Here is a 22,301-nt window from a genome sequence, read left to right on the forward strand (position 1 = left end):
CCACCACGCCTGGCTAATTTTTTGTATTTTTAGTAGAGACGGGGTTTCACTATGTTAGCCAGAATGGTCTCGATCTTCTGCCCTCACGATCCGCCCGTCTCGGCCTCCCAGAGTGCTGGGATTACAGGCATGAGCCATCGTGCCCAGCCTCCACTTGGTTCTTTTTTATCTCTACTGAAATTTCCTATCTGGTCATACATGTTTTCTTCATCATGTTTAGTATAATTATTATAACATTTGATAATTTCAACATCTGTTCCATCTTTGGGTTACATTTTTCTTTACCTTTCATTTTAAATACACTTAATTATTTTGCCATAATGTTCTATCATTTTTGTTGTATAAGAGCTATGTGTTCCTCTCTTACTCCTGTCCTTTGTTCCTTTTCCCTCCCCCGCTTGTTTAAAAATATTTTCTCCACCTATCTCATATTCTGTATGGATGACTAAAAGTTGTTTTTCAAGAAGCTTAATTTGTAGAAATAATGTTGGATGTTTATCTAAAACAAGGACTCATGCTTCTAGCAAATATAACTACATGTATCCATTCAGCAGAATAGTACTGAAAAGTATTCAGCTTAGCAACTTTTTAATGGCTTTGTTGTTCTTCTTTAGGTTGAATCTCCAGTGATCTGTAAAATCTTAGATACAGCAGATGAAAATGGACTTCTTTCTCTCCCCAACTAAAGGATATTAAAGTTAGGGGAAAGAAAAGATCATTGAAAGTCATGATAATTTCTGTCCCACTGTGTCTCATTATAGAGTTCTCAGCCATTGGACCTCTTCTAAAGGATGGTATAAAATGACTCTCAACCACTTTGTGAATACATATGTGTATATAAGAGGTTATTGATAAACTTCTGAGGCAGACATTTGTCTCGCTTTTTTTCATTTTTGTTGTGTCTTATAAACTGACTGTTTTTCTTTGCTTGGATACTGTGATTCCAAAATAAATCTCATCCAAGCAAGTTAGAGTCCAGCCTAATCAAATGTCATAATTGTTGTACCTATTGAAAGTTTTTAAATAATAGATTTATTATGTAAATTATAGTATATGTAAGTAGCTAATGAAGTAAAGATCATGAAGAAAGAAATTGATAGGTGTAAATGAGAGACCATGTAAAATATGTAAATTCTAGTACCTGAAATCCTTTCAACAGATTTTTATATAGCAACTGCTCTCTGCAAGTAGTTAAACTAGAAACTGGGCACATGGTAGAGGCTCACATGGGAGTTGTCCTCACCCTTGTTAATCTCAAGAAACTCTTATTTATAATAGGTTGCTTCTCTCTCAGAACTTTTATCTATTACTTTTTTCTTCTTATGAGTATGTTTACTCTCAGAGTATCTATCTGATGTAGACAGTTGGTGATGCTTCTGAGACTCAGAATGGTTTACTCTAACAAAACACTGTGCTGTCTATCCCTTGTACTTGCCTACTGTAATATGGATTTCACTTCTGAACAGTTTACAGCACAATATTTATTTTAAAGTGAATAAAATGTCCACAAGCAGTGTTGTCATGTAGTCAATGGCAGATTATTAAATTTCTTTATTTTTTTCATTATCCTGTTGTACACATTTTAAACATACATATCTGAACAAGAACAGAAAAGGGCCATAAAAGTCTTTTCCTCCTTTTTAGTAGTTCTGGCCAAAGACAGTTTAAGAAAAGGCTAATATAATTGACTCTTTTAGGGTTATTTATAGATTTTAGTAGGAAGCAGCACATAGAGAAAGAGCATGAACTTTGAATTCAGACCTAGGTCAAAATCCTTTTTTTTTCTCTCTCTCTCTCTACCCAGAGATGGGGCTGCTCAGGCTGCTCTGAACCCCTGGGCTCAAGCAGTTTTCCCACCTCAGCCTCCCAAATAGCTGGGACTACCAGGCACACACCAACAAGACCAGTGCAAAATCCTGTCTTTAACTTACTGTGTACAAGATAGGAAAAACCAAACACTTATACCCAATACAGCACAGAACACGAGGTCACCAAAATGTGTGGTTTTTCTTCCTCACGCCAGCCAATTTTCTGACACCAGCTGGGTGTCCTACAATTCAGTTCAATTCTGATACTCGTCTACTTGGAGTTGACAGCAGACCCCACAAGTAAAGGGCTCAGTTGCACAACACTGCTTCCACTTACTTCAGATGCCAATTGCAAGTCTGGGCATCTAGTACTTTTGACCAACCAGCTATAAATCAGGGGTTCCATGACTCCCTTCTTGGGTTTAATAATTTGCTGGAATGCCTCACAGAATTAAAGGAAACACTTTACTTATGTTTACCAGTTTATCATAAAGGATACAACTCAGGAATGGCCAGATGGAAGAGCTGCATAAGGCAAGGTATGGCGGGGGTGGGAGGCAAGGGGGTGCCTGCAGACCTTCTAGGCTTCCTCTGGGCGTGCCACTCTCCCAGCACTAGGTTCGGGAACCTAGAAGCTCATCAGATCCCAAGAGAGTTTATAGAGTTTGATTTTCAGATCCCCCTCCCCCTTTCTTTCCCCGAGGTCAGTAGGTGGGGCTGAAAGTTCCAACCAGCTATCAATCACTTGGTCTTTGTAGTGAGCAGCCCCATCCTGAGGCTATCTAGGGGCTCCACCTCAGTAACCTCATTAGCATAAACTCTATCCAGCATAAATTATATGCAGATAGAGATAGGGTGATCAAAAAGGGCTCCTTAAAAGTAACAAGACACTCCCATTACCTGGGAAGTTCCTAAGGTTTTAGGAACCCTGTGTCAAGAACCTGAGACAAACACGAAATTTCTTACTATACCGCATACTAGCTGTGTGATCCTAGACATGTCAGCGAACGTCTTTGAGCCTCTCTTCCTCTTTTGTGGAGAGAATACTTACTTCATAAAATGGTTGTATCAGTGAATGAATTTTACTGTGTGTAAAAAGTCTTGTCCAATACTTGATACCAGTATGTTAACTTCCTTTTATTGCGTCTGTCTCCTGTTAAGAAGATCAAAGATCAAAGCCATTAAAATACTTTTTTTTTTGAGGTGGAGTCTCGCTCTGACAACCAGGCTGGGGTGCAGTGGTGCAATCTCAGCTCACCACAACCTCTGCCTCCTGGGTTCAAGCGATTCTCTTGTCTCGGCCTCCTGAGTAGCTGGGATTACAGGCGTATGCCACCATGCCCGGCTAGTTTTTGTATTTTTGTATAGATGGAGTTTCGCCATGTTGGCCAGGCTGGTCTCAAACCCCTGACCTCAAGTAATCTGCTTTCCTTGGCCTCCCATAAGTGCTGGGATTACAGGCATAAGCCATCACACCAGGCCAAAATTCATTTCTTTAATGAATTAAAGAATCATATTTATTATATCAATGAGTTAAAATAACATAATTACCCTCATATTTAGTATAGGTGATAGGGGAGGGAGTTAAAAATTAGGTCAGTGCCAGAAGATACGTTGATAATATTTAGAACAAACTCTCTCTTAGAAGAGGGGGAAAAATGATCTTTTAAAAACTGTACTAGAATAGTCTACTAGGGAAGATTGTTAAAAACAGAATTCATTATTTCAAAATAAAAAAGATTTTATAAGAACGAGTCAGCCTTCTAGTTGAGTACACACCTAGCTACTCAGGCTGACGCTGGAAGATGGCTTGAGCCCAGGAGTTTGAGGCTGTAGTGCACTATGTCACCTGTGAATAGCCACTGCATTCCAGACTGGGCGACATGGCGAGACCCAGTCTCAACAAAAAAATAGTTCTCTGTCTTGACTAACATAGATCAAACTTCTTTGAGGGTAGGGGCTAGTCCAGGTATCTCCATATCTGTTTTAAATCTTGAGTCCCCTATCAGTAGTCTGTGAAGTCTCATTTGCTCTCCAGCTTACTTGCTGCTAACTCTGTGATACAATCATTCTGTATAAGCAGGCTGAATTGCTAACAGGGAAGGGAAATGGCTCAGCTATAATATGGCGATGCATTTTGAGAAGTCTATCTCGTGTCTATTGAAGCCGGTGCTATCCCATACCTAAACCAGATTCTTTTTTTTTTTGAGATGGAGTCTCACTTTGTCACCCAGGCTGGAGTACAGTGGCACAATCTCAGCTCACTGCAACCTCCGCTTCCCAGGTTCAAACAATTTTCCTGCTTCAGGCTCCTGAGTAGCTGGGATTAAGGCATGTGCCGCCACGTCCAGCTAATTTTTGTATTTTTAGTAGAGACAGGGTTTCACCATGTTGGTCAGGCTGGTCTCGAACTCCTGACCTTGTGATCCGCCCACCTCGGCCTCCCAAAGTGCTGGGATTACAGGCATGAGCCACTGCTCCCGGCCAACCAGGTTCTTAAGACAGGGCCTAAGAATCTGTATTTTAAATAAACATAGCAAGTGATTCTCTTTGTTAAATAAATTCTCTAGTGATTGAGAATTGCTGATGGGGACTTCACTAACTACTAGCCCTCCTGTCTCCAGGTGAGGGTTTCAGGGAAATAATTAGTAGTTCATCTTTACAAGAAGGTTGTGACATGGAAACTTTTGTTGGGGTTTTGTTTTTGTTTTTTTTCTGCTTTTTAAAATTTTACCTCTTTTCTTTGAGAGGCTACTAGGTGGGGCTTGTAGCCCAGCCCTAGTTTGTTTGTTTGTTTATTTACTTATTTGAGAGACGGTCTCACTCTGTTGCCCAGGCTGGAATGCAGTGGCACGGTCATGGCTCACTGCAGCCTCGACCTCTTGGCCTCAAGGGATCCTCCTGCCTCTGCCTCCTGAGTAGGTGGGACTACAGGCATGCACCACCACACTTGGCTAATTTTTAAATTTTTGTAGAGACAAGGTCTCCCTACGTTGCCCAGGCTGGTCTTGAACTTTTGGGCTTAAGCGATCCTCCTGCCTTTGCCTCCCAAAGTGCTGGGATTACAGGGGCGAGCCACTGCACTGGCCCCTAGTTTATAATCCTTGATTAAAGGGACACTGGCAACAAACTTTCTCAAAATTGAATAGTTATGTTTTGTGTACTATCCCCTATGAACTATCCTTTTCAATCAGTCTGCTACCCAAAGACCTAACCTGGTTTCTGACAATACTTAAGTACGTAAGGTTTATGTACCTAAACCTAGTACATAATCAGACCAAATTATTGACCCAGCAGCACCAAAGATCTAGCATTAAAGGACTTAAGCTAAACAAGAAAATAAAGTTAAGACTAAATTTTGAATAATTAGGTTTTGGAATCAGAGCTTCAAATGAAAATACATATCAGCTACCCTAGAATGATTTTTTTAGAGGCAGTGTCTCACTCTTTTGCACACGCTGGAGTGCAGTGGTGCAATCCCAGCTCACTGCAGCCTCAAACTCCTGTGCTCAAGCAATCTTCCACCCTCAGCTTCCCAAGTAGTTGGGACTGCAGGCATGCACCACCACGCTGGCCTCCTAGAATGATTTCAAACTCTTCCTAGTGTTGGGCGATTTTATTACCAGTGCTTGCCATGGTGGCATGGCTTAGAAGAAAATCCATTTCTTTTTCTTTTTTTCTTTTGTTGTTGTTGTTTTTGTTGACCTGCTTCCTTTCTGACCTGGGCTGATTCACCCTTCTTGAGCAATCTGGTGGTCCCTGGCTCCCCATTGCCATAGCACACTAAGGCCCAGAACTTGTGGGCTCAAGCCATCCTCCAGCTGCAGCCTCTTGGGAACTCAAGATGGGCATCACCATGCTGGCTCTCTTTTTCTCACTTGTTTAGCAGGGGAGGTAAGGAACCCACTGCACACTCAAGAGCATGTTTTATCTCATATGCTGATAGTCTCAAACGTGGTTTCAGCAAGCAGGCAAGATGATGCATTGGGTTGTAGGAAGAACATATTAGAAATTCTATTTTTCATCTGTGAAAGATGTTAAGCCTCACTAATATATAATATGTGGTACACACAATAATTCATAAATGAGAAAGTCTTATGTCATAAAGCATCCTAAGAGTCGGTGATACACATTTGGAGGAGATGATGGGGATACCCTTCTTTATTTTTCACTTTTATCCTGTTACAGGATCATAGACTAAATTAATTACCTTTCAGAAAATGGAATTGTTAATCTAAATGTAAGCCTTAAGATCATATCTTGTCCGGGCACGGTGGCTCACGCCTGTAATCCCAGCACTTTGGGAGGCCAAGGCAGGCCGATCACTTGAGGTTATGAGTTCGAGACCTGCCTGGCCAACATAGTGAAACCCCGTCTCTACTAAAAATACAAAAATTAGCCAGGCATGGTGGCGCACGCCTGTAGTCCCAGCTACTCGGGGGACTGAGGCAGGAGAAACACTTGAACCTGGGAGGCAGAGCTTGCAGTGAGCTGAGATCACGCCACTGCACTCCAGCCTGGGCGACAGAGCAAGACTCCATCTCCAAAAAAAAAAAGAAAAAAAAGATTTTACCTGATCAGGTAGATAACCAATCAGAATTATGATGTGGAGGTTAAAAGGTGACTTTCACCAGCCATGGTTCTAATCACTGAGGTTCTTAGATCGTGCAAGACTTCTTTTTTAGAAATAATACAGTAATGCCCTCTGCTGGGCACAGTGGCTCACACCACTTTGGGAGCCGAGGCACTTTGGGAGGCCGAGGCAGGCAGATCACCTGAGGTCGGGAGTTCGAGACCGGCCTGACCAACATGGTGAAACTCCATCTCTACTAAAAATAAAAAATTAGCCAGGCATGGTGGTGCATGCCTATAATCCCAGCTACTCAGGAGGCTGAGGCAGGAGAATCACTTGAACCCGGGAGGCAGAGGTTGCGGCAAGCCGAGATCGGGCCATTGCACTCCAGCCTGGGCAACAAGAGCGAAACTCCATCTCAAAAAAAAAAAAAGAAAGAAAAAGAAATAACACAGTAATGTCTTTTTTACAGTTATGGGAAAGAATGGCATGTTTTCCTGGTTAGCAGCCATTAGAGCCTACAGTTTGAAGACTACTAGAATTCCACTTTTTAATACGTGGAGAAAATAAAGGCAAGCCTGACAGTCTCAAAATTAAAGTGGAAAGAAAAGCAAAATTATTAACAAATAAAATACAGAGCTTGAAGTATCTTGCATCCACAACTATTTGTAATTTTGGGGTTTTTTTTGTTTTGTTTTGTTTTTTTTGAGACGGAGTTTTGCTCTTTTTGCCCAGGCTGGAGTGCAATGGCCCCATCTCGGCTTGCCGCAAACTCTGCCTCCCGGGTTCAAGTGATTCTCCTGCCTCAGCCTCTGGAGTAGCTGGGATTACAGGCATGCGCCACCACGCCAGGCTAATTTTGTATTTTTAGTAGAGACGGGTTTTGTCATGTTAGTCAGGCTGGTCTCAAACTCCTGACCTCACGTGATCTGCCTACCCCTGCCTCCCAAAGTGCTAGGATTACAGGCGTGAGCCACCGCGTCCGGCCGCTATTTGTAAATTTTTAAGCATTTTAGTATTTTTTACACTTGAAACAAAAAATGTTCACCAAAAGCAAGTAAATCAAGCAGGACTTTTGGAAACAGCAACCAACTCAATTACCAAAGATGTTTGTAAAACTAAAATAGTGCTAAAGAGCTCACATCTAATCACATACTACATTATGTGTTTCAAATCTATTTTAATTTTTTTTCAATCCTTTGCCACTACAGACAATGCCACACTAAATAATAATCTTTGCATGTCGTTTAACCTTTTTGCTAGTATCCTTGAAATAGATACTTTTTAAATGTTTTTTATAGAGAGGGAGTCTTGCTATGTTGGTCAGGTTAGTTTTGAACTCCTGGCCTCAAGCAATCCTCCTGCCTCAGCCTCCCAAAGTGGTAGGATTGCAGGTGCCCAGCCTTCTAGGACCTTTTGATAGAAAGAATTGTGCTTTGTCTTGAATTTAAGAAAAAATACAACATAGCTTCCTATATATTTTCCTCAAGTACAAACATAACTTTTATTTTATAAATATATATTAAAAAATAAATTTACTTAAAAGTCCAGCAGTGTGGCCGGCTGTGGTGGCTCACGCCTGTAATCCTAGCATTTTAGGAGGCCCATGCAGGAGGATTGCTTGAGCCCAGGAGTTCAAAAACAGCCTGGCCAACATAGCAAGACCCCATCGCTACAAAGATTACAAAATTAGCTGCGTGTGGTGGTGTGCACCTGTGGTGGCAGTTCCTCTGGAGCCTGAGGCTACAGGATTGCTTAAACCCAGGAGTTAGAGGCTGCAGTGAGCCAGGATTGTGCCACTGCACTCCAGCCTAGGTGACAGAGTAAGAACCTGTCTCTAAAAAAAAAAAAAAAATTTGAGGCCGGGCGCATTGGCTCACGCCTGTAATCCCAGCACTTTGGGAGGCAGAGGCGGGCGGATCAGGAGGTCAAGAGATCCAGACCATCCTGGCCAACCTGGTGAAACCCCGTCTCTACTAAAAATACAAAAATTAGCCAGGCATGGTGGCGGGTGCCTATAGTCCCAGCTGTTCAGGAGGCTGAGGCAGGAGAATCGCTTGAACCCGGGAGGCGGAAATTGCAGTGAGCCAAGATCGTGCCACTGCACTCCAGCCTGGGTGACAGAGCAAGACTGTCTCAAAAAAAAAAAAAGTTGAATTAAGTACTCCATGTGGCTGAGTCAGCATTTGAACCAATTCAGAGTCTATGTTTATAAATGTATGCCATATCGCTTCTCGGCCTTTCGGCTAAGATCAAATATAAATGAGTGCCATACTGCTTTTGCTTCACAGAAATGTCTTCTGCCTCATGCACCATTCTCTACTGTCATCTCCCACCTGAGAGAACACATAGAAGGGCTCAGCAAAATTCTCTGTAAAATGAGTACAGCAATTAATTTTTTCCTGGCAACATATGACACTCATTTTTCCCATATGTTATTTTTATTATGCTAATGCAATTCAAAAATCTGGCGAATATTTCATTAGTAAGATTAAAATGTCACCTTGGGAATTCTGGCTAGGTTACATGCCAAACCCTCTCTTCTTTGATAATCTTTTGGTGTTGGTAAACAATGCAAGCACAATGCCAATTATCTAGATCCAGATCATGTTTATCATTTAAGTGACAGAATGAGAATTCCTTCATCTTTTATGTATGGCTTTCTGTTTTGGAGTAAAGAATGCATTTTATTTTTGTTTCTCCTCAGACTATGAATAAAAGGGACTCTCAACAAACATTTGCTGAATAAATGAATGAACCCTCATCTTCTCTTAACCCACACCTTATAAAATCTTTCTCAACTACTCCAATTTTCCCTATTACTTTTTTTTTTAAACTAATCCCTCTGTTCACTCTCAACACTCCTTATTTTTCAGTGTTTGGTGCTTTGAGGGGAAAACAAAATATGTTCTTCAGTTTTACAATAGTTGGGAAAGAAAAAGGAGCATTTTTATTGTTTTGTTTCATCTGTGTTCCTTTTCTCTTGGATTCCACATGGCATCATGTAATCAATTTTTTGCTGCCTTGCACTGATTGCTCACAGTCTCATATGTTGCTTCTCCAAACTAACAATGTGAGTACAGTGTCTGTGTCTCCCTCCTCTGTGGCATATCCACCCCGCTCCATGAACTGAAAGCATTCCAATTCTGAGGCACTCTGAACTCTTCCATAAAAAGTGGCTATTTTCATGGCCTCTTCGCAAAGTGTAATTCTGTCTTCTCTTTCAAGTAATATTAATAAAACTAGTTTTTAAAATTTCTTTGACAAACATTGTTGCTAAAGCCAAACAAATGATCAACAAGCTTTCACAAGCCCTTGCTAATGTGACATAACTCTGAGGCATTTACACAGGTTATGAAACTTGTCCTAGTACATTGGCCTCAGAAGACAGGCATAAAGCACTCTTTGTGAACTGCTTAGCTTTGTAAGGTCTATCTGGCACCTGAACAAGCAACATTTTGCAAAACATCAGGCTCTGCATGAAAATTCAGATTCCCACACTGAGAGTCCATTGAGAGATCTCCCACTCATTAGCATGCTACAAGGCCGCTGAAAGATCAGGAAGATGTCAAAAGGGCAAACCTTCACATAAACAGAACTCAGAGAAACAAACTGAACTTAACTTGGCATCAGCCAACTGTAAGTATGAAAAAAAAATGTGTTTATTGGGATGAGAAGAAGGAAAATTCACTAATTTGTCTACATGCAACTAAGTGATATTTTTCCTTGGTAAAATTAATTGCAAAGGCAGCCAGATGCAGTGGCTCCTGCCTGCAATCCCAGCACTTTGGGAGGCCAAGGTGGACAGATGACTTGAGCTCAGGAGTTCGAGACCAGTCTGAGCAACATGGCAGAACTCCATCTCTACAAAAAAATACAAAAATCAGCCAGAGGTGGTGGTACACATCTGTGGTCCCAGCTACTTGGGAGTCTGAGCCAGAAGGTTTGCTTGAGCCCCAGAGGTCGAGGCTGCAGTGAACTGGGATCATGCCACTGAATTCCAGCCTAGGCAACAGACTGAGATTCTGTCTCAAAAAATAAAAATAAAAATAATCTCAAAGGCATTAGACCTAAAGCGATTGTCTATTAAATTATCTCTTGTGGAAAGTAACATTTCCCTCAATATCCACCTTTATTCAAATTGTCCTATGCCTTAAAATAATTGGTACCCCCTCTCCTCTCTTTGCAAGAACTAGTTGTCCCTTTTTTCCCTTAATTCTTTTGTGGTTGCTGAAGAGTTTTATTTAGCCTTCAATGACTTCAGGCAGTATAATGAGCCAAGGAATTCCAATGATAATGAATGCAGGTTGTCTGGCAGCTCCTGGGCAGCCAGGGTTGTCCCTGGGAAAAGATGCCTTCTGAGCTGGATGATGGTTCCCTTAACTGAGTAAACAGTCAGGAAGAGGGCCTTGCAGTCCTAAGTCAGGACCCAGATCCCCTTTCATTAAAGTCCTGCTAAAAATCATCCTGGGAAAATAGAGAGTCATACAAAAAATAAACATGAGGAAATTATAAGCCAGCCAGATACTGATTTCGGTTGACATCACTTCCATGGATCACTTCATCCATCCATTCATTTATTGATCCATTTATTCAACAACTATTCACAGAAAGCCAACAAGGGACGAGGACTGGTAGGTACTGGGGTATGGTGCTAAACAAAACAGTCTTTGCTCCATTCGAGCTGTATTCTAGTGGGGAGACAGCCAGTAAACAGTAAAATGTAACTTGTAGACTGAACTGTGTCCCCCTCCAAATTCATACAGCGAAGCCCTAAATGCAACCGTGACTATATTTGAAGATAGAGTCCTTCCAGGAAGTAATCAAGGTTAAATGAGGTCATAAGAGTGAGGCCCTTATGATGGGATTTGTGCCCTTTATAAGAAAAGACACCAAAGAGCTGGCTTCCTCTCTTCCTCTCTGCCATGTAAGGACACAGAAAGAAGGTGGCCATCTAAAAGCCAGAGAGTCCCTCACCAGAAACCAAACCTGACAGCACCTTGGAATTCCAACTTACAGAACCATGAGAAAATTGATTTCCGTTGTTTAAGCCATACAGTGTGTGGTATTACTGTGTTACGCCCACCTGAGCAGACTAATCAATAACATAATATTAGGAAGTGATCAGAACTATGAAGGAAATCATGTAAGGTAGAGGGATAGATAGATAGGCAGTGGCGGAATGGAAAGTGGCACTGAGTATGGGGACCAGGAAAGGCCACCGGGGAAGACCATTCCAGATGGAAATATTTCTGGGGGAATTCTCTGACATGGGGACAAAAATGGGGCATGTGAGAAACAGCCAGGAAGTCTCTGCAGCCTGGGCACATTGGGCAGGGTATGAATGAAAGTAAACAGAGACAGAGAAGAAACCAGGGACCAGTTCTTTCCGGCTACACAGGCCATGGCAAGGACTTCAGATTTTGTTCTAAGTGGGATAGAAAGCTACTGGAAGTCTATAAGCAGGACAGTGACATATAGGATTTACCTTAAAAGGATCACTATTACAGGGGAAAGAGACTGTAGGAGAGGACTGGAAGTGGGAAAACGATGAGGTTGGTTTAATTTTCCAGGTAAAAGATGATGGGGACATGGGCTAGTGGGGTGGGGACGGAAGAGGTGAGAAATCGTTGGATTTAGAGTCTATTTTTAAAATAATTCAGGATTTGTCAATAGGTTGGATATGGTGTGCAAGAGAAAGAAAAGAGTCAAGGACGCCAAATTGAGCTGTGCAGCTGGGTTACTGCAGTGCTGTTTACTGAGATGATAAAACGGTAGGAGGAGTTCGTGTGGTAGAGAACAGAGTTGAGTCAAGGGTTGTTTTGCACATGTTACATTTCGGGATGCCTATTAGACACACAAGTGGAAATGTTAAATAGGGAACTTGATAGACCAGCATGGAGTGAAGGGAAAGATCAGGACTGGAAATAGAAAAGTGAGTGTCATTAGCATTTAAACAAAGTTGAAAGCAGAAGGCTGAATATTATCGTAATTACTGCCAGCACCTGCTTCTCAATTTACAGCTCTTTCTCTAGGGATGCAGGAGTGAATGAAAAGCTATTTTTCAATCTTTCTGTTCCACCTTTCCCTTCTCTACCCCCTCGAGATTACCCCATCCAGCTTCAAGTGGTCACTGTCTGCTATTCCTGGAAGTGACTTTGCCTCTCCTGCCCTTCACCGCATTTGGGCCGGTGCAGCTGGACTGGTGCACGTGGGAGCACATGCTCTGGTCATCTGCTAAGGCAGAGTCTTCCCAGTGCTGGAGCTTGGCTGCTTTGCCCATGGTTCCAAACTAAGTCTAGGCCTGACCTCTCTAAAGCCTGGACCCCTGACAAAGGCAAGTCTTTTCCCAGGAGCTTGCCTGCCACTCCTCTCACCATTCCACAGGGCCTTAATGTCTTTTTTGTTTGTTTTTTGTTGTTGTTTTCGAGACAGAGTCTTGCCCTGTTGCCCAGGCTGGAGGGCAGTGGTGCGATCTTGGCTCACTGCAACCCGCACCTCCCAGGTTCAAGTGATTCTCCTGCCTCAGCCTCCTGAGTAGCTGGGATTACAGGCACACCACCACACCGGCTGATTTTTGTATTTTTAGTACAGATGGGGTTTCACCATGTTGGCCAGGCTGGTCTCTTAACTCCTGACCTCAGGTGATCCACCTGCCTGGGCCTCCCAAAGTGCTGGGATTACAGGTGTGAGCCACCGCACCCGGCCAAGGCCTTAATGTCTTCATTGACTTGGATTTTGTCCTCAACTGTGGTAGGAGAACAATGAGACAAGTCTCTTTTAAGAGAACCATGGTCATCTTGCATTAATGGAAAAAAAAAACTGCTTTTAGTGAATATAGGAGAAAAAGTGTGTGTCTGTCTGAGAGCTTGAAAGATCCTATTACAGCTTTCATCCATATTACTTTCTATGTTGCCACTGATCTGTGAATGACAATGGTGGCCTTGAAAGCAGGGGCTTTTAGTAGAGACGGGGTTTTGCCATGTTGACCAGGCTGGTCTCCAACTCCTGACCTCAGGTGATCCGCCCTCCTCAGCCTCCTAAAGTGCTGGTATTACAGGTGTGAGCCATGGCACCTGGCCCTGTTTCTTTTTATTTTATAATTTTTTTTTTTTAGAGATGGGGTCTCACTATGTTGCCCAGGCTCAAGTGATTCTCCAGCCTTGGCCTGTCAAAGAGCTGGAATTATAAGTGTGAGCCACTGCGCTCAGCCGCAGCTCCGTTTCTAATTTGCTAGGTTGCCTTGATGGAGTCTCCAACCACATTACTTTCCTTGAACAGACAGAGGTTGGGGAGTAATTAGAATTGTATTCATAAAATGAATCTGCTCTTCAAAAGTTAGATGATGTGATTTCAACAGAAGAGACAGTAATATATGTACGTTCTGATTACAACAGTGTACACATGCACGTTTATACGGTAATAAAGTTCAGGAATAAATTTTAAGTAACAACAATCTTGTTTTTTTTTTTCTTTTTGCTGCAGGGTCTAGCTCTATCACCCACATTGGAGTGCACTGGTACAATCACAGCTCACTGCAGCCTCAACTCTCTGGGCTCAAGCCATCTTCCCACCTCAGCCTCCCAAGTAGCTGGGACCACAGGTGTGCACCACCATGCTTGGCTTCTTTTTTTTTTTTTCCTCTGGAGAGACAGGGTCTTACCATATTGCCCAGACTAGTCTCGAACTCCTGGGCTCAAGCCATCCTCCCACGTTGGCCTCCCAAAGTGTTGGGATCACAGGTGTGAGTAACTGCGTCTGACCAACAATCTTCCTTGTTTAAAAATTTTAAACAATGCTGCCTTAGATACTCCCTAACAGATCTCTGCTTTAACAATCCAGCAGTTCACTGAGGTTCTCTCCTCTCTCTGTAGACTCTTCTACATAAGGCTTTGCACACTGCATGCAAGTAGACTACTTTCTACACATAAGCACTTTTGCTGCTCTCTCTCTCTCTCTCTCAGGAATTGACAGCTTATCAATGAGACAAAAAATATATCAGTAATAATATATATTTGAATTATACAATCAGTGGGTGGGGCACAAAACCAATAGGTTCTTTGCTACCATCCCTCAACCCTCCAAAAAAGAATTACACAATCAATAGGATTGAACTACATGACATACAGAGAACATTTTAGCCAATAATTAGAAAATAGCATGTTTTTCTCAAGCACATTCAGATCACTTGCACAAACTGTCCATATACTGAAGCATAAAGCAAATCTCAAGTAATTTTCAAGGATTGGAATCATACAGATCTCACTGTCTGGCCATAATCTCATTACCTTGGAAATCAATAAGTGAAAGATACTCTTTCAGAAATTAAGAGAATCACTTCTAAATAATTTATGGATCCAATGGAAAAAAATATGATGCAAATTAGAGAATACTTAGAACTGAATGATGAGATCATACTGCAGTAAATTGTATTATTGTTCCAAATAGTTTCTGCTCTACCCTGTGAAAGAATTATAGATTCCAGGCCGGGTGCAGTGGCTCAAGCCTGTAATCCCAGCACTTTTGGAGGCCAAGGCCGGTGGATCACCTGAGGTCAGGAGTTTTGAGACCAGCCTGGCCAACATAGTGAAACCCCATCTCTACTAAAAATACAAAAATTAGCCAGGTGTGGTGGCACATGCCTGTAATCCCAGCTACTCGGGAGGCTGAGATAGGAGAATCACTTGAACCCAGGAGGTGGAGGTTGCAGTGAGCCGAGATCGCGCCACTGCACTCTAGCCTGGGTGACAGAGCAAGACTGTCTCAAAAAAAAAAAAAAGAATTATACATTCCAACCCATTGCTGTATTCTTTCAGTGTCCACACTATGAGAAGATTTCTATTTCCCACACACTGAAATCATGCTTGGCCATTTGACTTGCTTTGTTCAGTGAAATGTGAGTGGATTGATATGTGCCACTTTTGACCATAAGTCTGTAAGAGCCACTACTTTTTCTTTCTGCCCTAGATGGGCATGGCACAGAAAACTATGTCTTCAGTGTGGATCCCAGAATGGGGCAGAGTCACAGTCAATTCATAGTCAATATGTAAGAAAGAAATTTTTGTTGTGGCAAGCCACTGAAATTGGTTTGAAATTGCTTATTACCACAGCACAACTTAGCCACAGCTAACTGATACAAATATCTATAAAAACGTCTGGTTGCAATAGTACTGAAAGTCCTAGCCAGAGAAATTAGGCAACGGAAAGAAATAAAAGGGATGCAAATAGGAAAATAAGAAGTTAAATTGTCTGTTTGCAGACAACATGATCTTATATGGAAAATGCTAAAGACTCCATCAAAAATTTTCAAAACTAATAAATGAATTCAGTAAAGTTATAGGACACAAAACCCAACATAGAAAAACCAATGGCATTTCTATACACTAACAAATTATTCCAAAAAGAAATTAAGAAAACAATCTAGGCCAGGAGCAAGGGCTCACGCCTGTAATCCCAACACTTTGGGAGGCTGAGGTGGGAGAATTACTTGAGCCTGAAAGTTCAAGTCCAGCCTGGGCAACACAGTGAGACTCCATCTCTACAAAATAAAAAATAAAAATTAGCTGGGCATGGTGGTGTGTACCTGTAGTCCCAGCCACTTTGGAGGCCGAGGTGGGAAGATTGCTTAAGCCCAGGAGGTCAAGGCTGCATGACTGTGCCACGGCACTCCAGCCTAAGCAATAGAGCAAGACCCTGTCTCAAAAAAGAAAATAAAAGAAAAAGAAAACAATCCAATTTACAGTAGCCACAAAAATAATATTTAGGAATAAATTTAACAAAGAAGGTGAAAAATCTATAAACCAAAAACTATAAAGCATTTATAAGAAATTAAAGAAGTCATAAATAAAAAGAAAGATATCCTGTCTTCATGGATTGGAAGAATAAGATTGTTAAAATGTCCATACTACCCAAATCAATCTACTACTCAAAGGATTCAATGCAATCTATTAAAATTCCAATGACCTGTTTCACAAAAATAGGAAACACTATCCTAAAATTCATATGAAACCATAAAAGACCCCCAAATAGCCAAAGTACCCCCAAAGACCCCCAAATAGCAAAAAGAACAATGCAAGAGGCATCACACTACCTGATATCAAAATCTACTACAAGCCATAATCAAAGCAGCATGCTATTGACATAAAAACAGATCTGTAGACCAACAAAACAGAATAGAAAGCCCAGAAATAAATCTACATATTTCTGGTCAATTGATTTTCAACAAAGATGCCAATAACACACAATGGGGAAGCAACAGTCTCTTCAATACTGTTGATAAACAGTATATCCACATGCAGAAGAATGTCACTGGGCCTTTATCTCACTCCATATAAAACAATCCACTGAAAATGGAGTAAGATTTAAATGTAAGACCTGAAACTGTGAAACTACTAGAAAAAAACAAAGGGGAAAAGTTCCATGACATTGGTTTGGGCAATAATTGTTTTGAATATGACCCCAAAAGCATAGGCAACAAAAGCAAAAGTAGATAAATGAGATTACATTAAACTAAAAAGCTTCTGCACAAAAGAGGGAACAATCAACAGTGTGAAAAAGACAACCTATGGAATGGAAGAAAATATTTGTAAACTATGTATCTGATAAGGAGTTAATATCCAAAATATATAAGGAATTCACACACCTCAATAGCAAGAAAAAATTAACCAGATTTTACAATGGGCAAAGGAACTAAATAGACATGTCTCAAAAGAAAACATACAAATGGCCAACAGGTATATAAAAAAAGGTCAGCATCGGCCGGGCGGTGGCCCACGCCTGTAATCCCAGGACTTTGGGAGGCCAAGATGGGTGGATCACGAGGTCAGGAGATCAAGACCATCCTGGCTAACACGGTGAAACCCCGTCTCTACTAAAAATACAAAAAAAAAAAAAAAAAAAAAAAGCCAAGCGTAGTGGCGGGCGCTTGTAGTCCCAGCTACTCGGGAGGCTGAGGCAGGAGAATGGCGTGAACCCGGGAGGCGGAGCTTGCAGTGAGCCGAGATCCCGAGATCGCGCCTCTGCACTCCAGCCTGGGCGACTGAGCAAGACTCTGTCTCAAAAGAAAAAAAAAATCAGCATCACTAATCATTAGGAAAAGGCAAATTAAAACCACAATGAGATATTACCTTATCCTTGTGAGAATGGCTATTACCAAAAAGACCAAAGACAACAAAGTGTTGGCAAGGATGTAGAGAAGAGGGAACCCTGGAACACTGTTGGTGTGAAGGTAAACTAGTACAGCCATTATGGGGAACAGTATGGAAGTTTCTCAAAAAATTAAAAATAGAACTACTATATAACGCAATGATCCCACTATTGGGTATATATCCAAAGGAAATGAAATCAGTATGTTGAAGAGATATCTGCATCCTATGTCTACTGCAGCATTATTCACAATACCCAAGATATGGAATCAACCTAAGTATTCATGAATGGATGAATGGATAAAGAAAATGTGTATATACACAATGGAATACTACTCAGCCTTAAAAAAGGAGAAAATCCTATTATTTGCAACACCACAGATGAGCCTGGAGGACATTATGTTAAATGAAATAAGCCAGGCACAGAAAGACAAATACCTCCTGATACCACTTACATGTGGAGTCTGAAAAAGATTAACTCATAGAAGCAGACTAGAATGGCAGTTACCAGGGTTAATGAGTGGTGTGGCATTGGGGGATGCTGATCAAAGAATACAAAATTTCAGTTAGGAAGAATAAGTTCAAGAGATCCATTGCACAACATGGTGATTCTAGTGAATAACAAGGTATTCATACTCAAAAATTGCTAAGAAAGTAGATGTTAAGTTTTCTCACCACAAAAAAATGGTATGTGAGGTAATGCATATGTTCATTGGCTTGATTTAGCCATTCCATGATGAATACATATATCGAAACATCATGTGGTTGTTTTTTTTTTTTTTGAGACGGTGTCTCACTCTGTCGCCCAGACTGGAGTGCAGTGGCGCTATCTTGGCTCACTGCAAGCTCTGCCTCCTGGGTTCACGCCATTCTCTTGCCTCAGCCTCCTGAGTAGCTGGGACTACAGGCACCCACCACCACGCCCGGCTAATTTTTTGTATTTTTAGTAGAGATGGGGTTTCACCGTGTTAGCCAGGATGGTCTCGATCTCCTGACCTCGTGATCCGCCCACCTTGGCCTCCCAAAGTGCTGGGATTACAGGCGTGAGCCACCACGCCCGGCCTCAAAACATCATGTTGTACACTAACATGGTTTGGATGTATGTCCCCTCCAAATTTCATGTTGCATGTGATTCCCAGTGTTGGAGGTGGGGCCTGGTGGGACATGTTTGGGTAAGAGAGGTGGATCCCTCATGAATGCTTAGTGCCATCCTGGCAGTAATGAGTGAGTTCCTGCTTTATGAGGTCATGTGAGATCTGGTTGTTTCTGGGACCTCCCCCATCTCTCTCTTGCTCTCACTGTCTCCATGTGATACACCGGCTCCCCACTTGCCTTCTGCCATGATTGAAACTTCCTTGGGCCTCACCAGAAGCAGAGCAGATGCCAGTGCCATTCTTCCTGTACAGCCTGCAGAACCGTGAGCCAATTAAACCTATTTTCCTTATAAATTACCCAGCCTCAGGTATTTTGTATAGCAATGCAAGAATGGACTAATACATATACCATAAATATATTTGGTAAGGTGGGCCAAGAAAAGAAAAAAGAGGGCTGGGCACGGTGGCTTACACCTGTAATCCCAGCATATTGGGAGGCTGAGGTGGGTGGGTCGCCTGAGGTCAGGAGTTCAAGACCAGCTTGGCCAACATGGTGAAACTCCATCTCTACTAAAAATACAAAAAATAGCCGGGTGTGGTGGCATGCACCTGTAATCTTAGCTACTCGGGAGGCCAAGGCAGGAGAATTGCTTGAACCTAGGAGGTGGAGGTTGCAGTGAGCCAAGATCGTGCCACTGCACTCCAGCTTGGGCAACTGAGCGAGACTCCGTCTCAAAAAATAAATAAATAAATAAATAATAAATAAAAAAGAGAAGGCATACAAAGATAATAAAAAGAATGAAAAAGGTGACAAAACTCAGATTCTGCACAGAATTAACAGATATTATAGATTATTGTGAATAACTTTATGCCAAGAAGTTTGAAATATATACAAAATGGGGAAAAATTCTTAGAAAATATTACTGTATTACATTGCATATAATAATACTAATACTATTATAATAATTTAAAAACTAGATAAATTGTACAACCATTATAGTAATTGAATCAAGAGATAAAAACTTTCCTCCAAGTAAACAGCAGCACAGATTGTTTCACAGGAGCGTTCTATCAAACATTAAAGGGAAAAATAAATTCCAATTTTAAGCAAACTACTCCATAACATAGAAAAGGAAGTTACATTGCTCACCCATTATATGAAACCAGGATAAACAGACAAGAGAATTATGAGAAGTGAAAATTGCAGGGTTATTTCTTTATGAACAGATGCAAAAATCTTAGAATATTAGCAAATTGACCTAGTATTTTTTTTTTTGACAGGGTCTCACTTTGTCACTCAAGCTAAGAGTGCAGTGGTGCAGTCACAGCTCACTACAGCCTTGACTTCTGGGGCTCAGCAATCCTCCCACCTCAGCCTCCTGAGCAACTAGGACTACATATGTGTGCCACCATGCCTGTTTTTTTTTTTTAAGAGACGGGGTGCCACAAACTCAGGCTTAAACCATGTTCCCACTTCAGGCTCCCAAAATGCTGGGATTACAGGAGTGAGCCACCGTGCCCAGTCCTGATTTAGTAGTGTTTAAAAAAAACCATCATGGCCAAAATGAGACAAATCATATGATTATCTCAACAGATTCAGAAAAGTCACTCAAGGCTGGGCGCTGTGGCTCACGCCTGTAATCCCAGCACTTTGGGAAGCTGAGGCGGGTGGATCACGAGGTCAGGAGATCGAGATCATCCTTCCTAACACGGTGAAACCCCGGCTCTACTAAAAAATAGAAAAAATTAGCCGGGCGTGGTGGCGTGCGCCTGTAGTCCCAGCTACTCGGGAAGCTGAGGCAGGACAATGGCGTGAACCCGGGAGATAGAGCTTGCAGTGAGCCGAGATCGCGCCACTGCACTCCAGTCTGAGCAAAAGAGCAAGACTCCGTCTCAAAAAAAGAAAAAGAAAAGTCACTCAATAAAATTGAACCCTCTTCTATAATAAAAACTCTTAATAAACGAGGAACAGAAGAGAAACTTTTTAAACTGATAAAGGGTATCTAACAAAAACCTACAACACTCTCAGAGTTGATGAAAATTTCAAATGGACAACCAGAATGGATGCCTACTATTAACACTTCTGTTCAACCTTGTACTGAATTTCTAGCTAACCATGTAAGACAAGAAAAGGTGAAGGTGTAAGGCTTAGAATGGAAGAAACAAAACCATTATTGCCAAATGCAGTGCCTCACACCTGTAATCCCAACACTGGGATGCCAAGGTGGGCGGATCCTTTGAGTTTAGGAGTTAGAGACCAGCCTGGACAATGTGGTGAAACCCCGTCTCTACAAAAAATACAAAAATTAGGAGGGTGTGGAGGTGCCCACCTGTAGTCCCAGCTACTCAGGAGGCTGAGATGGAAGGATCACTTGAGGCTTAGGTTGTAGGGAGCCGAGATTGCATCACTGCACTCCAGCCTGGGCAACGAAGCAAGACTCTGTCTCAAAAAACAAAAACAAAAACAAAAACAAAAAACAACCAAAACCAAAACATTATTATTTGTAGATGACATTTTTAGAAAATTTTACAAAACAGTTTCCTCTGTCAAGTAGATAACATTTTTATCTACATAATAACCCCAAAATATGTGTTAGATAAATTATTAAAAATAAGAGAGTTTAGTCAAGTGGCTAGATATAAAATTGATTTACATAAATTATTGCACTTCTATGCCTCATCAAAAAACAAACAATAACTTAAGAAAAGAAATAATTGGCAGGGCACAGTGGCTCACCTGTAATCCCAGCACTTTGGAAAGCTGAGGTGGGCAGATCACTTGCGGTCAGGTGTTCGAGACCAGCCTGGCCAACATGGCGAAACCCCGTCCCTAGTAAAAATACAAAATTAGCCAGGTGTGGTGGTACACACCTGTAATCCTAGCTACTTGGGAGGCTGAGGCAAGAGAATCGCTTGAACCTGGGAGGCAGAGGTTGCAGTGAGCAATGATGGTGCCACTGGAGTCCAGCCTGGATGACAAAGCAAAACTCCGTCTCAAAAAAAAAAAAAAAGGGGGGACATTTTAGTGAGCTCGAGAGAGAAGCATTTCTGTTTAAATTATTTTTGAAGGGCAAATCATAATTGTATACACTTATTGGGTACAGTGGGATGTTTTGATATACATACAAAATATGGAATGATTAATCAGGCTAATTAATATATCCATCACTTCACTTACTTAGGTTTTGTGGTGAGAAGTATTTCTTCAGTAAATTGCAAAGAGATTATATAAGATACAATTATTATTTCAATTTTATGTATAAGAATCTGAAACTTATAGCAGTTAAATTTGTCCAGAGTCACCCAAGCTAACATTCAAACTCCGGAAATGCAGTCTGTGGGCTGTCATTCTTAACCTCAATGCTGTGCAGGCATTTTGTGTGTGTTCCATCCATCAATTCCCTTTTCCCCCTCTTAATTTTTATTACTTATTTATTCATGTCAGATGGGTAATGTGCCCACGTTGTAACAAGGTTTGATGCGGTTTGGCTCTGTGTCCCCACCGAAATCTCATGTTGAATCATAATTCCCAGTGTTGGCGGAGGAACCCGGTGGGAGGTGATTGGATTATGGGGGCAATTTCCCCATTCTGTTCTCGTGATAATGAGTGAGTTCTTGTGAGATCTGATGGTTTAAAAGTGTGTGGCACTTCCCTCCTTGCTTCCTGTCTCTCTCTCTCCTG

General features: G+C 41.6%; 2 protein-coding genes and 1 long non-coding RNA gene across 5 annotated transcripts in view, besides 1 other annotated feature; 1 reads left to right on the top strand and 2 right to left on the bottom strand.

Annotated features, from left to right (window-relative positions):
- Positions 1-1,513, top strand: part of ERLEC1 (endoplasmic reticulum lectin 1) — a 31,753-nt gene extending 30,240 nt beyond the window's left edge. For all 3 annotated transcript variants that reach the window (NM_015701.5, NM_001127397.3, NM_001127398.3), the window contains one exon: positions 615-1,513. In NM_015701.5, the coding sequence (NP_056516.2) occupies positions 615-686 (72 nt within the window). In that variant the 3' untranslated portion in view covers positions 687-1,513. The remainder of the gene's footprint in view (positions 1-614) is intronic.
- GPR75-ASB3 (GPR75-ASB3 readthrough) overlaps positions 1-22,301 on the bottom strand; it is a 189,675-nt gene that overhangs the window by 146,991 nt on the left and 20,383 nt on the right. The gene's annotated exons all lie outside the window — the stretch shown is intronic.
- Positions 1,451-21,063, bottom strand: LOC112268415 (uncharacterized). The gene is made up of 2 exons (XR_002959386.2): positions 20,950-21,063; positions 1,451-2,961 (listed from the first exon to the last, which is right to left on the bottom strand). It is a non-coding gene; the product is annotated as an uncharacterized LOC112268415 (long non-coding RNA).
- Positions 9,349-9,643: a silencer, noted in NCBI's record as "tiled region #2358; HepG2 Repressive DNase matched - State 5:Enh, and K562 Repressive non-DNase unmatched - State 23:Low". NCBI's record gives its function as "represses a minimal TATA promoter and a strong SV40 promoter by Sharpr-MPRA in HepG2 and K562 cells {active_cell/tissue: HepG2 | K562}" and the evidence as "EXISTENCE:reporter gene assay evidence [ECO:0000049][PMID:27701403]".

Source organism: Homo sapiens, chromosome 2, assembly GCF_000001405.40.
Source record: "Homo sapiens chromosome 2, GRCh38.p14 Primary Assembly".
Classification (NCBI taxonomy): domain Eukaryota; kingdom Metazoa; phylum Chordata; class Mammalia; order Primates; family Hominidae; genus Homo; species Homo sapiens.